A 12818-nucleotide genomic window follows, 5' to 3' on the forward strand; every position below is an offset into this window, starting at 1 on the left:
CATACATGCATAGTAATATAGGAAAGGATAAGAAGTATTATGATATAGGAAGCAATATAGAAAATGAGGTAATTACATTTTTCTAGAATTGGGGGAGATGACCTATAAGTAGAATTTTAGACGTTGTAAAGGAAGGAGTTCAGCAGGCAGTCATGGGGCAGAAGAAATTGAGATGAAGGTATAGATAACTCTAGGACATAGGACATGAAAAGGTGTGGATAAAAAATCTACTTGATGTATCTCTAGAATTACAAGTAATTAACTAATGCTGGAATGTATAGTGCAATGGAGTAACTAGGTGGAAGGGAAGGGAGAGAAGGCTGGGGAGGTAGATAGACTGTCTGCTGAATCTGTTGAAGGGCTTTATACACCATGCTGACTATAAGCAGTGGAGAGCCATGAAGAGTTTTAAGAAGAGATCTAATTAGATTTAAATTTGAGAAAGATCATCCTGGCAGAAGTGTAGAGAATGGACTTGAGGGGGCCAAGACTGGTGGAGAGAGATCAGTTAGAAGGCCACTGTAATAGTCCAAGCAAGTCATGTTCTGATCCTGGCAATAACAGTAGGTCAGAGAGGAGTGAGGAAAGTGCTAGCACTTGTGATTGATTAGATTTAGGACTGAAGATGAAAGAAAAGTCAAAGATGGCTTTTAGGTTGCTGGTTTGGGTGAGAAGGTAGACGAGAAAGGGGAAGGAAGAAAAGAGCAAGGTTTGGGAAAAGGTAGTAAGTTCGAATTTAGACCTATTTAGTTTGAGTTGCCTAAGGGAAATTCAGGTAAAGATGTTCAGTGAGTAGTTGAAATTATAAATCTGGAGCTTAGAGGAACAGTCTACATTGATTGTTAGATAGATTTGGGTATGATCAGCATATAGGTGGTAGTTAAATTGGGGGAATGTATGCAGTTTCCTAGGTAAAGAATACAGCTCAAAACATTAACTACTTGGGACTTTCACTTCTTCTACTCTGTACTTGCCTTTTATTCTGCCAATCTATTGTCAGCTCAAGAGGTGATGTAATAGTTTGGGAATCTACCAAAGTAGCATTTTAAATATCTCCCATGAAAGTGAACCAATAAGTAATTTTGGATGACTGACATTTTATTAGTGAGAGGAAGATGAGTTTCCAACCCTCCTGCCCCTTTCACTTTAGGATGTGACAAATCACTATGCTTCTGCAGTAGAATTGGTTTGGCTACTGTCAGACAGTGAGGGTGGTAGAGGAAAAAAAAGGAGTTGCACACAACATTTGCTCCTGTTATAACTAACTATGGACAGCACTAATAAAATGGTTTTAAAGCTCCAGCCTTTTATATGTCTGCCATAATCTGGGTCAGTGAATGCCTTGAGATTAGTTGTTACCCTGTGGTGTTGTTGAGATTAGAAGATGCAGTAACCTAGTGCATTAGTCCATTTTCATGCTGCCGATAAAGACATACCAGAGACTGGGCAATTTACAAAAGAAAGAGGTTTAATTGGACTTACAGTTCCACATGGCTGGGGAAGCCTCACAATCATGGCGGAAGGCAAGGAAGAGCAAGTCACATCTTAAATGGATGGCAGTAGGCAGAGAGAGCTTGTGCAGGGGAAGGCCTCTTTATAAAACCATCAGATCTTGTGAGACTTACTATCACAAGAACAGCATGGGAAAGACTTGTCCCCATGATTCAATTACCTCCCACTGGGTCCTTCCCATAACACATGGAAATTCAAGATGAAATTTAGGTGGGGACACAGCCAAACCATATCATTCCACCCCTGGCCCCTCCAAAATCTCATGTCCTCACATTTCAAAACCAATCATGCCTTCCCAACAGTCTCCCAAAGTCGTAACTCATTTCAGCATTAACTCAAAAGTCCACAGTCCAACATCTCATCTGAGACAAGGCAAGTCCCTTCTGCCTATGAGCCTGTAAAATCAAAAGCAAGTTAGTTACTTCCCAGATACAATGTGGGTACAGGCATTGGGCTAATACAGCCATCGCAGATGGGAGAAATTGGCCCAAATGAAGGGGCTACAGGCCCTATGCAAGTCTGAAATCCAGTGAGGCAGTCAAATCTTTTTTTTTTTTTTTTTTTGAGATGGAGTCTCGCTCTGTTGCCCAGGCTGGAGTGCAGTGGCATGATCTCGGCTCACTGCAAGCTCCACCTCCCGGGTTCACGCCATTCTCCTGCCTCAGCCTCCCGAGCAGCTGAGACTATAGGCACCCGCCACCATGCCCGGCTAATTTTTTGCATTTTTTTAGTAGAGGCAGGGTTTCACCATGTTAGCCAGGGTGGTCTTGATCTCCCAACCTCGTGATCTTCCCCCCTTGGCCTCCCAAAGTGCTGGGATTACAGGCGTGAGCCACTGCACCTGGCCCAGCAGTCAAATCTTAAAGCTCCAAAATGATCTCCTCTGACTCCATGTCTCTCATCCAGGTCATGCTGATGCAAGAGCTGGGTTCCCATCATATTGAGCAGCTCTGCCCCTGTGGCTTTGCAGGGTACAGCCTCCCTCTCAGCTGCCTTCACAGGCTGGCATTGAGTGTCTGTGGCTTTTCTAGGTGCATGGTGCAAGCTCTCAGTAGATCTACCATTCTGGGGTCTGGAGGATGGTGGCCCTCTTCTCACAGCTCCACTAGGTGGTGCTGCAATAGGGACTCTGTGTGGGGGCTCTGACCCCACATTTCCCTTCTGCACTGCCCTAGCAGAGGTTCTCCATGAGGGCCCCAACCCTGCGCAAACTTCTGCCTGGGCATCCAGGCATTTCCATACATCTGAAATCTAGCGGAGGTTCCTAAACCTCAATTCTTGACTTCTGTGCACCCTCAGGCTCAACACCATGTGGAAGCTGCCAAGGCTTGATGCTTGCACCCTCTGAAGCAACAGCCTGAGCTGTACCTTGGCCCCTTTTAGTCACAGCTGGAGCAGCTGGGAAGCAAGGCACCAAGTCCCTAGACTGTACATAGCAGAGGGACCCTGAGCCCAGCTCATGAAACCATTTTTTCCTTGTAAACCTCTGGGCCTGTGATGGGAAGGACTGCTGCAAAGGTCTCTGACATTCCCCAGAGACATTTTCCTCATTGTCTTGGTGATTAACATCTGGCTCCCCATTACTTACACAAATTTCTGCAGCCCACTTGAATTTTTCCTCAGAAAATGGGATTTTCTTTTCTATTCCATGGTCAGGCTGCAAATTTTCCAAACTTTTATGCTCTCCTTCCCTTATAAAACTGAATGCCTTTAACAGCACCCAAATCACATTTTGAATGCTTTGCTGCTTAAACATTTCTTCCGCCAGATACCCTAAATCATATCTCTCAAGTTCAAAGTTCCACAAATCTCTAGGGCAGGGGCAAAATGCCACCAGTCTCTTTGCTAAAACATAACAAGACTCACCTTTGCTCAGTTCCCAACAAGTTCCTCATCTCCATTTGAGACCTCCTCAGCCTGGATTTCATTGTCCATATCATTATCAGCATTTTGGTCAGAGGCATTCAACAAATCTCTAAGGAGTTCCAAACTTTCCCACATTTTCCTGTCATCTTCTGAGCTCTCCAACCTATTCCAACCTTTGCCTGTTAACCAGTTCCAAAGTCACTTCCACGTTTTTGGGTATCTTTCAGCAGCACCCCATTCCTAGTACCAATTTACTGTATTAGTCCATTTTCATGCTGCTGATAAAAGACATACCCAAGACTAGGCAATTTACAAAAGAAGAGGTTTAATTGGACTTACAGTTCCACATGGCTGGGGAAGCCTCACAATCACGGCGGAAGGCAAGGAAGAGCAAGTCACATCTTAAATAGATGGCAGCAGGCAAAGAGAGAGAGAGCTTGTGCAGGGGGACTCTTCTTTATAAAACCATAAGATCTCATGAGACTTATTCACTATCATAAGAACAGCACAAGAAAGACTTGTCTCCATGATTCAGTTACCTCCCACTGGGTCCCTCCCGCAACACATGGGAATTCAAGATGAGATTTGGGTGGGGGCACAGCCAAACCATATAACCTAGTAATCATGGTGACTCTGTAAGATAATTGCCGGTGGAATTTTTCATCTCCTCAGGAGCACTGGCTGAATATTGATTCATTGACAATGATAAAAAGACCCATTGTTGTTAAAAGTGATGAAAACAGAAATTGCTCTATCTTCAAGTGTATCTCTGAAACTACTAGGGTACATAAAAAGATGAGACAAGTTAAAAGAATGTAGACCTGAAAAGAGAATTCTGACTTTTTCTCTTGGCAAATAGGTATTAAGCTTCCCAAACTGTTGATTCTGTACCATCAGAAATGTAAAATACTCAAAATAAAGTTTTCTAGTTTCATTCTTAGCTAAGCAGGAACTTGTGAAAGTTAGTCTTAAATGTGTTTCTATCTCTTTGGATGTATTAACTCTTTCTGATGGAACAGATTTCCACCAAGTTGGTGCAGTAAGAATTAATTTACCAATGCTTAGAAATGTATCACAAACACTCTGTAGAGACAAAGCCATGGCTATTAAGCATAAATTAAAAATTCAGGATTTCTTAGTCTCCTTTGAGGAATGGCATGACCAAGATCCAGTTGTACGTTTCAGCTCTCGTCATACGACCTGTTCACAAGTTAATCTCTAGTCTTACCATCCAATTTGTGTGGCTTGATGTCATGCCTTTTCAGCAGCAATCCTGTCTCTTTCAAATGTTCTTGGTGGGCTGTGTCAATCTTCAGATGAAAAAGTAAGCGTGCCCCACCTCAACACCAAAGATATGGTGTTGGTGATTCAGTAAGTGGCACATTTCTCTCCGAGTCAGATCCATAGACATTAAACTGTCAACAACAGCAGCTTTTGGTATGAGTTCAGTGTTCTGACCAGTAGCCATCATCTGGGGATGCAGATGTGCCTCGTAACTTGAAGAAACTGGAATTTATGAACTTGCACTTGCCAGAGGCATAGTCCTTCCCACTCTTCTACCTGGCCCTTTTTCAGACTACTGTGTTATGACACATCCCTGGGTTCTTCTCCATTTTACTCTGTGATTCCTGCAGTGATTTCTAAAGCAGTCTAGTTTCCTCCCAGAAAGAAGAGTGCTGTGGATACAAAAAACATTTTGGTTTTTAAGAGTTATGTTAGGTTGATTACCAATTAGAGTATGAAAAAAGACTAATTTGTATACCGTTTTTTCCCCAACACCTTCACATATTAATGGTATGCATGTTTTCAGGTTACCGATTTTGTGTTGTTTGAAAACATTTCTTAAGGGTCTTTCCTTTCCTTTTGAAGCTAGGAAATAGGAAAATTCAAAAAATAACTATATTTAATTGCCAAAGCCTGTATTTGGAAGCTGAAGTTAAATAGTTCTTTAATGCACAACAGACTTCTTACTCCATTCCATAGCAGGATAAATTTTGTTGCTATGAGCAACAGAAGTCCAGAACAAATATTAGAATTGATGATTTAAGTGTTCACAAAATTACAGATTTTTAAGAAAATTGCATAAAGTGAAGTTAATTGTAGTTTTAAGTTTAAATCACCAAATGACCTCAATGTTAGCATTGGTATGAAAAAACTTTACTGATCTTCATCTGCCAGAAAGTTGCACATTGTTTTCTATATAATGCTATATAGATCATGATATACCCTGAACAAAATATTAATATCTCAGTATTAGAATGTAATTTGCATTGATCCACAATAGTGAAATATGAAAAAATGTATATTCTCTGAGGATATACATGTAATTTCTGTAAAAGTAAAATACATTTTACCTACAGAATAACTTTCTTAATTGAGGGGCCTTCACAATGACATGAAATCTATAATAAAGTAAAGTAGAGAAAATAGATATCTGAGAGCCCAATTATCCAGACTGACAATCTATACTGATGAAATTTGTGAGAAAAATACAGTAATTGAAGAGGAATATATATCCTTTTTAAGAGATAAAATACTAGAAAAAATACAAAGGTTATTGCATAATGAGAATTACTGTTCTTTTATAACTCAATCTTAAAACTGTTATGCAACCTATAGGTATTACAGGTTTAAGATCAAATTTAGGCCTGGCACAATGGCTCATGCCTGTAATCCCAGCACTTTGGGAGGCCAAGGCAGGTGGATCACTTGAGGTCAGGAGTTTGAGACAAGCCTGGCCAACATGGCGAAACCCCATCTCTACTAAAAATACAAAAATTAGCCGGGCATGGTGATGCACACCTGTAATCACAGCCAACTTGGGAGGCTGAGGCAGGAGAATTGCTTGGACCCGGGAGGTGGACATTGCAGTGAATCAAGATCACGCCACTGCACTCCAGCCTAGGCGACACAGTGAGATTCCATCTCAAAAAAATAAAAAATAAAAAGATCAAATTTAATTTTAACTTTTCACTATTTGGATGTTTCTTTTTTTTCTGAAATAGTCAACATTGATACTTACATCATGTCTGTTTTTAATTCTCAGAAGTGGTATAAGCAAAAGCACTTTTGGATTCCTATTGAGCAAGCTCCCTCAAAAGCCAAAACTGAAAAATCAATGTACTGTAAAAGAATAAACAACCCAGTAAACAGAGCATGGGGAAATGGTCATAAGGTTCAAATCTAAAATTAGGAGTGGACTAGTATTGTGAGGCCGATGCATAAGGAAGGGAGAGTTGGGGTGAGAGGAGGTGCTGGGGGGATGTGAGGAGAACTTGGCTCATGTGCTTATTTCTTTCCTTATTGTGTACTAAGGCTACTAGAGATTAGGAGGGATTCTAAAGACCATCTAATCCAATCTTCTTATTTTACAGAGGAGGAAAGTGATGCCTAGAGAAGTTAAAGGACTTGATTGAAAATACAAGTTAGTTAGGGATCAAGGCGATATTAGAAGCTAGGTTTCTTGGCCCTTCAGAGATCCTCACAGATGTCAAGTTTGGATAGTCAACTCTTGGAAAGGTCATCTGGTCTATTTTCCTTAGGGAGTAAATAGTTCATAAAGTTAAACCATATTCTGTATTTCAGTTCCTAGTCTGGATTTTCCCCAGTCCTAGTTCTCTAGTTCTTATTTAGATTTTGTAAATGTCATTGAATTATATTTTTATTGTAAGCTATCTGAAAAAGTTCCATTTGTTCATTAATTTAGCAAATACTTATTGATGACTTACTATGTGCCAAGCACTGATACAGCAGTAGACAGAATAGATGAATATCTTCACAAACATGCTGTTGACAGTCTGGTGAAATAAAGTGATATGTATATATGAATCATCTGTATTTGGGCATAGTAGAGCACAGGAATGCATGAGGTGCTTTTATTTTTCACATTATAGCTAGAGTTGCTGTATCTAGTGACTTGAGAAATCCTTTTTTGTGATGGTACTTGTAGCCCTAGAGTCAGTTTTGTAAAAAATATATTTTAGTTTTACAATGGTATTAGACTTACAGAAAAGTTATAAAGATGACACAGAGAGTATCTATATACTCCACACTGAGTTTCACTTTTATTAACATCCTACATTAGTTTGGTGCACCTGTCGCAACTAATGAACCCATACTGATATGTTATTATTAGCTAAAGTCCATACTTTATTCATGTTTCCTTAGTTTTTCCTAATATTCTTTTTCTGTTCCAGGATACCATATTTAGTCATCATGTCTCCTTAGTTTCCTCCAGACTGTGACAGTTTCTTAGACTTTCCTTATTTTTGATTACTTTGATAGTTTGAGGAGTACTGTTGAGGTATTTTTTAGAATGTCCTTCAACTTGCTTGATTTTTTTTTTCCTTTTTTTTTTTTTTTTTTTTTTTGAGACAGGTTCTTGCTCTGTCTCCCAGGCTGGAGGGCAGTGGTGTGATCATAGATCACCACAATCTTGAATTCTTGGGCTCAAGCGATCCTCCTACCTTGGCCTCCCAAGTAGGTGGGACTACAGATGCATGCCACCATACTCTACTAATTTGTTTTTATTTTTAGTAGAGATGAGGTCTCACTATATTGCCCAAATTGGTCTCGAACTCCTGGGCTCAAGAATCCTCCTGCCTTGGCCTCCCAAAGTGCTGGGATGACAAGTGTGAGCCATTGCACCTGACCTGATGTTTTTTTCATGGCCAGATAGGGATTTGAGTGTTTGAGAGGAAGACTATAGAAGTAAAGTACCATTTTTGTGGCATATAATGGTATATGTTATCTTCATGACTGATAACTCATGATATAATCCTTGCTTACCTGGCTGAGGTAGTATTTGTGTCCACTGTAAAGTTACTCTTTCACTTCCTTTCCATACTATACTGTTTGGAAGGAAGTCACCATGCATAGTCCACACTTAAGAGATGGAGATGATGGTTATGCTCCACCTCCTTGAGGGGTAGTATCTACATAAATCGTCATTCTTTTGCCTGGGAAATGTGTTCATTTTCCTCCATTTATTTATTTATTCAATCATTTATATCAATATGTATTCACAGATATTTATTTTATACTTTGAGTTACAATCCAATACTACATTATTTATTTTGTTGCTCAAATAGTTCCAGCTTTGGCCATTGGGAGCTCTTTCAGTTGGCTCCTGTGCCCTCCTCTTTGACATACTCTCAACAATGCATTTATTTTAAGTACTTCATTACTTTTTGGCCTACAAGATGCTCCAGGCTCATTTTGTATATTCCCTACTCCACCCTAGAATGAGCCATTTCTCCAAAGAGCATTGGTTTCTTTTATTAGAGAATGGTATTAGAAACCACAAACTGGAATGCTGGGTGTGCTTGTTGCTACTGAAGTATCTTTGCTTCTAAGCCCTCTAAGCTTAAGCTGACAGAGCAAGAAATGGTGGTACATACTAGCCTGGGTATATACATGTATTTATAAATATTTCTATATTTGGCCATCTGTATCAATATTAATATGAGGCAGAGCATGGTGGCTCACATCTGTAATCCCAGCACTTTGGGAGGCTGAGGCGGGTGGACCACGACGTCAGGAGTTCGAGACCAGCCTGACCAACATGGTGAAACCCTGTCTTTACTAAAAATACAAAAATTAGCCAGGTGTGGTGGTGCGCACCTGTAATCCCAGCTACTCAGGAGGCTGAGGCAGGAGAATCACTTCAACCTGGGAGGCAGAGGTTGCAGTGAGCCTAGATCGTGCCACTGCACTCCAGCCTGGGTGACAGAGGGAGACTCTGTCTCAAAACAAAACAAAACAAAACAAAAACATCTAAATATGAGTTCATTCATACTGATATCTCCAACCTTAATCCATCAATAACAAATGAATATTTTAGCAGTCCCCCCCACTTGCTTGTGTGTAACCTGCCACCCCCAACAGTGAGAAACATGGCTCCCGCCATCTCCTGGGATCAGTTTTTCATTATGTAGAAATATCTCACATAACCTTATTTTCTTTTTGAAATTCCAAAGTAAATTAACTATCCAGACAAAAAACAAACTTTTAAAAGTGTTGATTATGCTTTTTCATGCTACATTAGAGTCTGCTCTATTCAAATACTCCCTACAAGGGGTCAAACTGCCAGCACTATCTTTAACATTATTAGCATCATTATCAATATCAATAAATGGTTATTGGGCCCCTCTTATAGAACCATAAACTAAGCTGGTTTATGTGGACAGCCTCCAGGGGAACCTTGAGGTGTTGCCCCATCACTAACACATGACAAATTTATATCACTATCATATGTATACATCTACATTTCTTTTTTAGGTTTATACCTTTTAGACCTGAGAATACTTGTTTACTGGCATTATTGTATATAACACACTTCCTGGTATTCCAAATAAATTAGTACTTTTTAATTTCTAGTTCTGTGGTTATTAGCATTAGCAAAAAAGAAGGAAAAAAGTTAAATGATGTGTCTGTTGCATAGTAGGTGCTCAGTAAATACTGTCTCCATTTGGATGTCTGATATTCCTCTCAAACTCAACACATACAAAACTGAATTATTAACCTTTTCCTATAAAATCTGTTCCTACTCATAGCCCTCCCCACCGCATTTGATGGCAAGTTTATCATTCTAGAACAGAAACTTCAGTGCCATTCTTAATTCCCCTGTTTTTCTCATACCATGCAACCAATCCATCAGGAAACCCTATTAAGTCTACCTTCAAAATATGTACAAAAGCAGACACCTCCTTACCATTTCTACTGCTACCTCCATGATCTGAACCTTCATTCTCTCTGCCTGTATTACTGAATAACCCTTTAACTGGTCTAAGTCTGCTTTTGGCCCTCTGTAGTCTTGGCAGCGAGAATAATCCTACAAAAAGATGTCAGATCATGTTATTTTTCTGCTGAAAAGACTCCAGTGGCTCTCCATTTTCTTAGAATAAGAGCCAAATATTTACAATAGCCTACAAAACTATGAGGTCTGCCCCCTCTCCCATCCCATTACCTCTCTGATCTCATTTCCTGCTACTCTTCCCACATTGGCCTACTTGCTACCCCTCAAATACTCTGGATATGATCCTGTTGTAAGGCTTTTGCACTGGCTTTTCCTCTGATGGGAATGCTCTTCTCTGATAGCTGGATGGTTAACGCCTTCATCTCCTTCAAGCATTTGCTCAAATGTCACTTTCTCAATGGAGCCTACTGTGACCATGCTATTTAATATTGCACCTAGCTTCTACCACTCACCATTCCTAGTCCCTCTTACCCTGTTCAGGTTTACATTTTTCTAAGTTTTCTTATATTCTAACATAGAATATAATTTATTCACTTAAGCTTATTGCTTATTGTGTGTCTCCCCCAGCTAGAATTTGAGTGGCATAAAGGCAGGGATCTTGTTCAGTTTTGTTCATTGATGTGTCTTAGATGCCTAGAAGAAAAAAATATATAGATTGAATGAGTAAGTGTATTATTTAAACTCTATGCTTCCTGTACCTCTAAATTATTCTTCAATTTTAAAAAAGCAACACATAAACAAAAACTTAATTTGATATAAAGGTATCAAGTAGATGTAAGGGCAAAAGGTATCCAAAATCTGAAATGTTACCAAAAGCACTGAGTTTTAAATTCCTCATTTGTTAATGAGTATAATAATGTTAAAATATTGTTGTGACTTTTAAAGTATATGCATAAAAGCAGTCAATAATCATGCATTAAGGGATTTCTCAGCTCTTAGGCCTATATAAAATAAGGCTTTGGAAACAAGGTACAAGTTGTTATAAGCCCTTAGAAGCCACTTTCTTTGTGGTGGCATTCCTCTGAAGACCCCTTTTTATCCGAAGTTTGAAATGGTGAGCAAACACTGATAATAGGAAAACAGTTCTTTAAATATGTTTATAAAGATTAATAAAATTATAATGCACCAGTTTTTAATAGGCACACTGAGATCACAGTCACTGAAGATGACTTGGAAACTCAGAATGGAGACAATTGAAAATTGTACATATGTTGCTCTGTTAGACATCTACTTTTCTTGACCACTAAATTTTGGCCCTACTACTCATTTTTTTAAAAAAATGCAGTTTGTTTTCAAGAGCAAAACAGTTGTTTAGTAAATTTGCATTGCTGAACATTCAGCACAGATGTAAGTTTCCTTCCCTCCACTGTTTTTTTTCAAAAGTAGAAATAACTTTTGTAATAAATAAATAAGTAAATTAATTAATTAATAAGCTGTGGGTTCTATCATGTATCCACTTAGTCCCTGGTACTGTTTCTTTTCTCTGAAATATTAGGAACTGGCTGAAAAGGCAAATGTTATTGGAATAGTTAGTATTCTAGTATGCCAAGCATTGTAGGGAGTGCCAGCTAGCAAGGTGGGGCATCCGGGAAGCTGATAGAACACCAACAAATGAACATATGACTAAATGCTGTTGTTTAAATTTACCTCTGGGGAATCAGTCTATGAAGTTCCATGGTGACCTTTCATGTTGTCTTTATGGTTACTATGAATTTTCCTTTCACTCTTTGTTTCCCTTCTGCTTCTATTCTTGATCATAAACCTGGAATAGAGAAAAGGGAAGATTTTTTTTTCTTTTATCAGTGGCAATGAAGATGACAGAATAAAGTAACAGGTTAACTTCAGTTCACACGAGAGGGGTACTAAATTTCACTAGAGGTAGAGTAAAAGTATTGGATTTGGAATATATTGGTCTATATTACTCTAAGTTTAGGTGTTTCACTCTTATCACATTTGAATCTTTATGAACAGCACAAGACAGTCCTGTGTTTCATATAGCTGGGTCCTGTCAATGTGTGCTTCTCTGTAAGGCTGTGATTTATTTGCATCATGAAGAATTGAGTTTCTTTATGAGTAACGTATTACATAATAGGCAAATTAGTTAAGTTTGTATTTCAGTTTTTAAAAATCCATTTAACAGTGGTCAAAATATTAAAACCAAGTAAATATCCAGTAAAATTCTTATCTCTAGAAGATTACAGGATCTAATACCACACCCTTACTTTAGATGGCTGAGACACATTAGTCACTTTTAGTTCTTTCCCAGGCTTTACTTTACATTTTTGTTATTATGCCAGCTCTTTTCCTTGTTTTGCCAATTAATTTATGTTTTTGTCACAGTTTGTGCCATTGTTTGCCTTATCTTAGAACCAAGGAATCTGGGAAAAGGTTCAAGTCTTTTTAATGTGGGCTTTTCCAAACCTGAAGTTTCCTAGATATGAGTATATAGAAATAAACTGGAATGTGGTATTAATACAAAACCATATATTTATGTCTCTGTATACATCTTATATTTATGTGTTTAGATAAAATTTACATGTGTTTTCTATATAAGTTTATCATTCGATTGATATATATACACATAATTATAATGTAAAAATGATTTTTCCTTTTGAAGTGAATAAATTAATTTTTCCCCTTTGAGGTCAGTAAGTATCTTCAGTGCTACCCTGTGAAGTTGCTT

At 38.6% G+C, this 12818-nt stretch overlaps 1 protein-coding gene and 1 long non-coding RNA gene across 3 annotated transcripts in view; one reads left to right on the plus strand and one right to left on the minus strand.

Annotated features, from left to right (window-relative positions):
* FGF2 (fibroblast growth factor 2) overlaps positions 1 to 12818 on the plus strand; it is a 71555-nt gene that overhangs the window by 51507 nt on the left and 7230 nt on the right. The gene's annotated exons all lie outside the window — the stretch shown is intronic.
* Positions 3687 to 7092, minus strand: LOC124900773 (uncharacterized). Its single transcript, XR_007058262.1, has 2 exons — positions 6181 to 7092; positions 3687 to 5054 (listed from the first exon to the last, which is right to left on the minus strand). It is a non-coding gene; the product is annotated as an uncharacterized LOC124900773 (long non-coding RNA).

The sequence above is a fragment of the Homo sapiens genome, chromosome 4, assembly GCF_000001405.40.
Source record: "Homo sapiens chromosome 4, GRCh38.p14 Primary Assembly".
Classification (NCBI taxonomy): domain Eukaryota; kingdom Metazoa; phylum Chordata; class Mammalia; order Primates; family Hominidae; genus Homo; species Homo sapiens.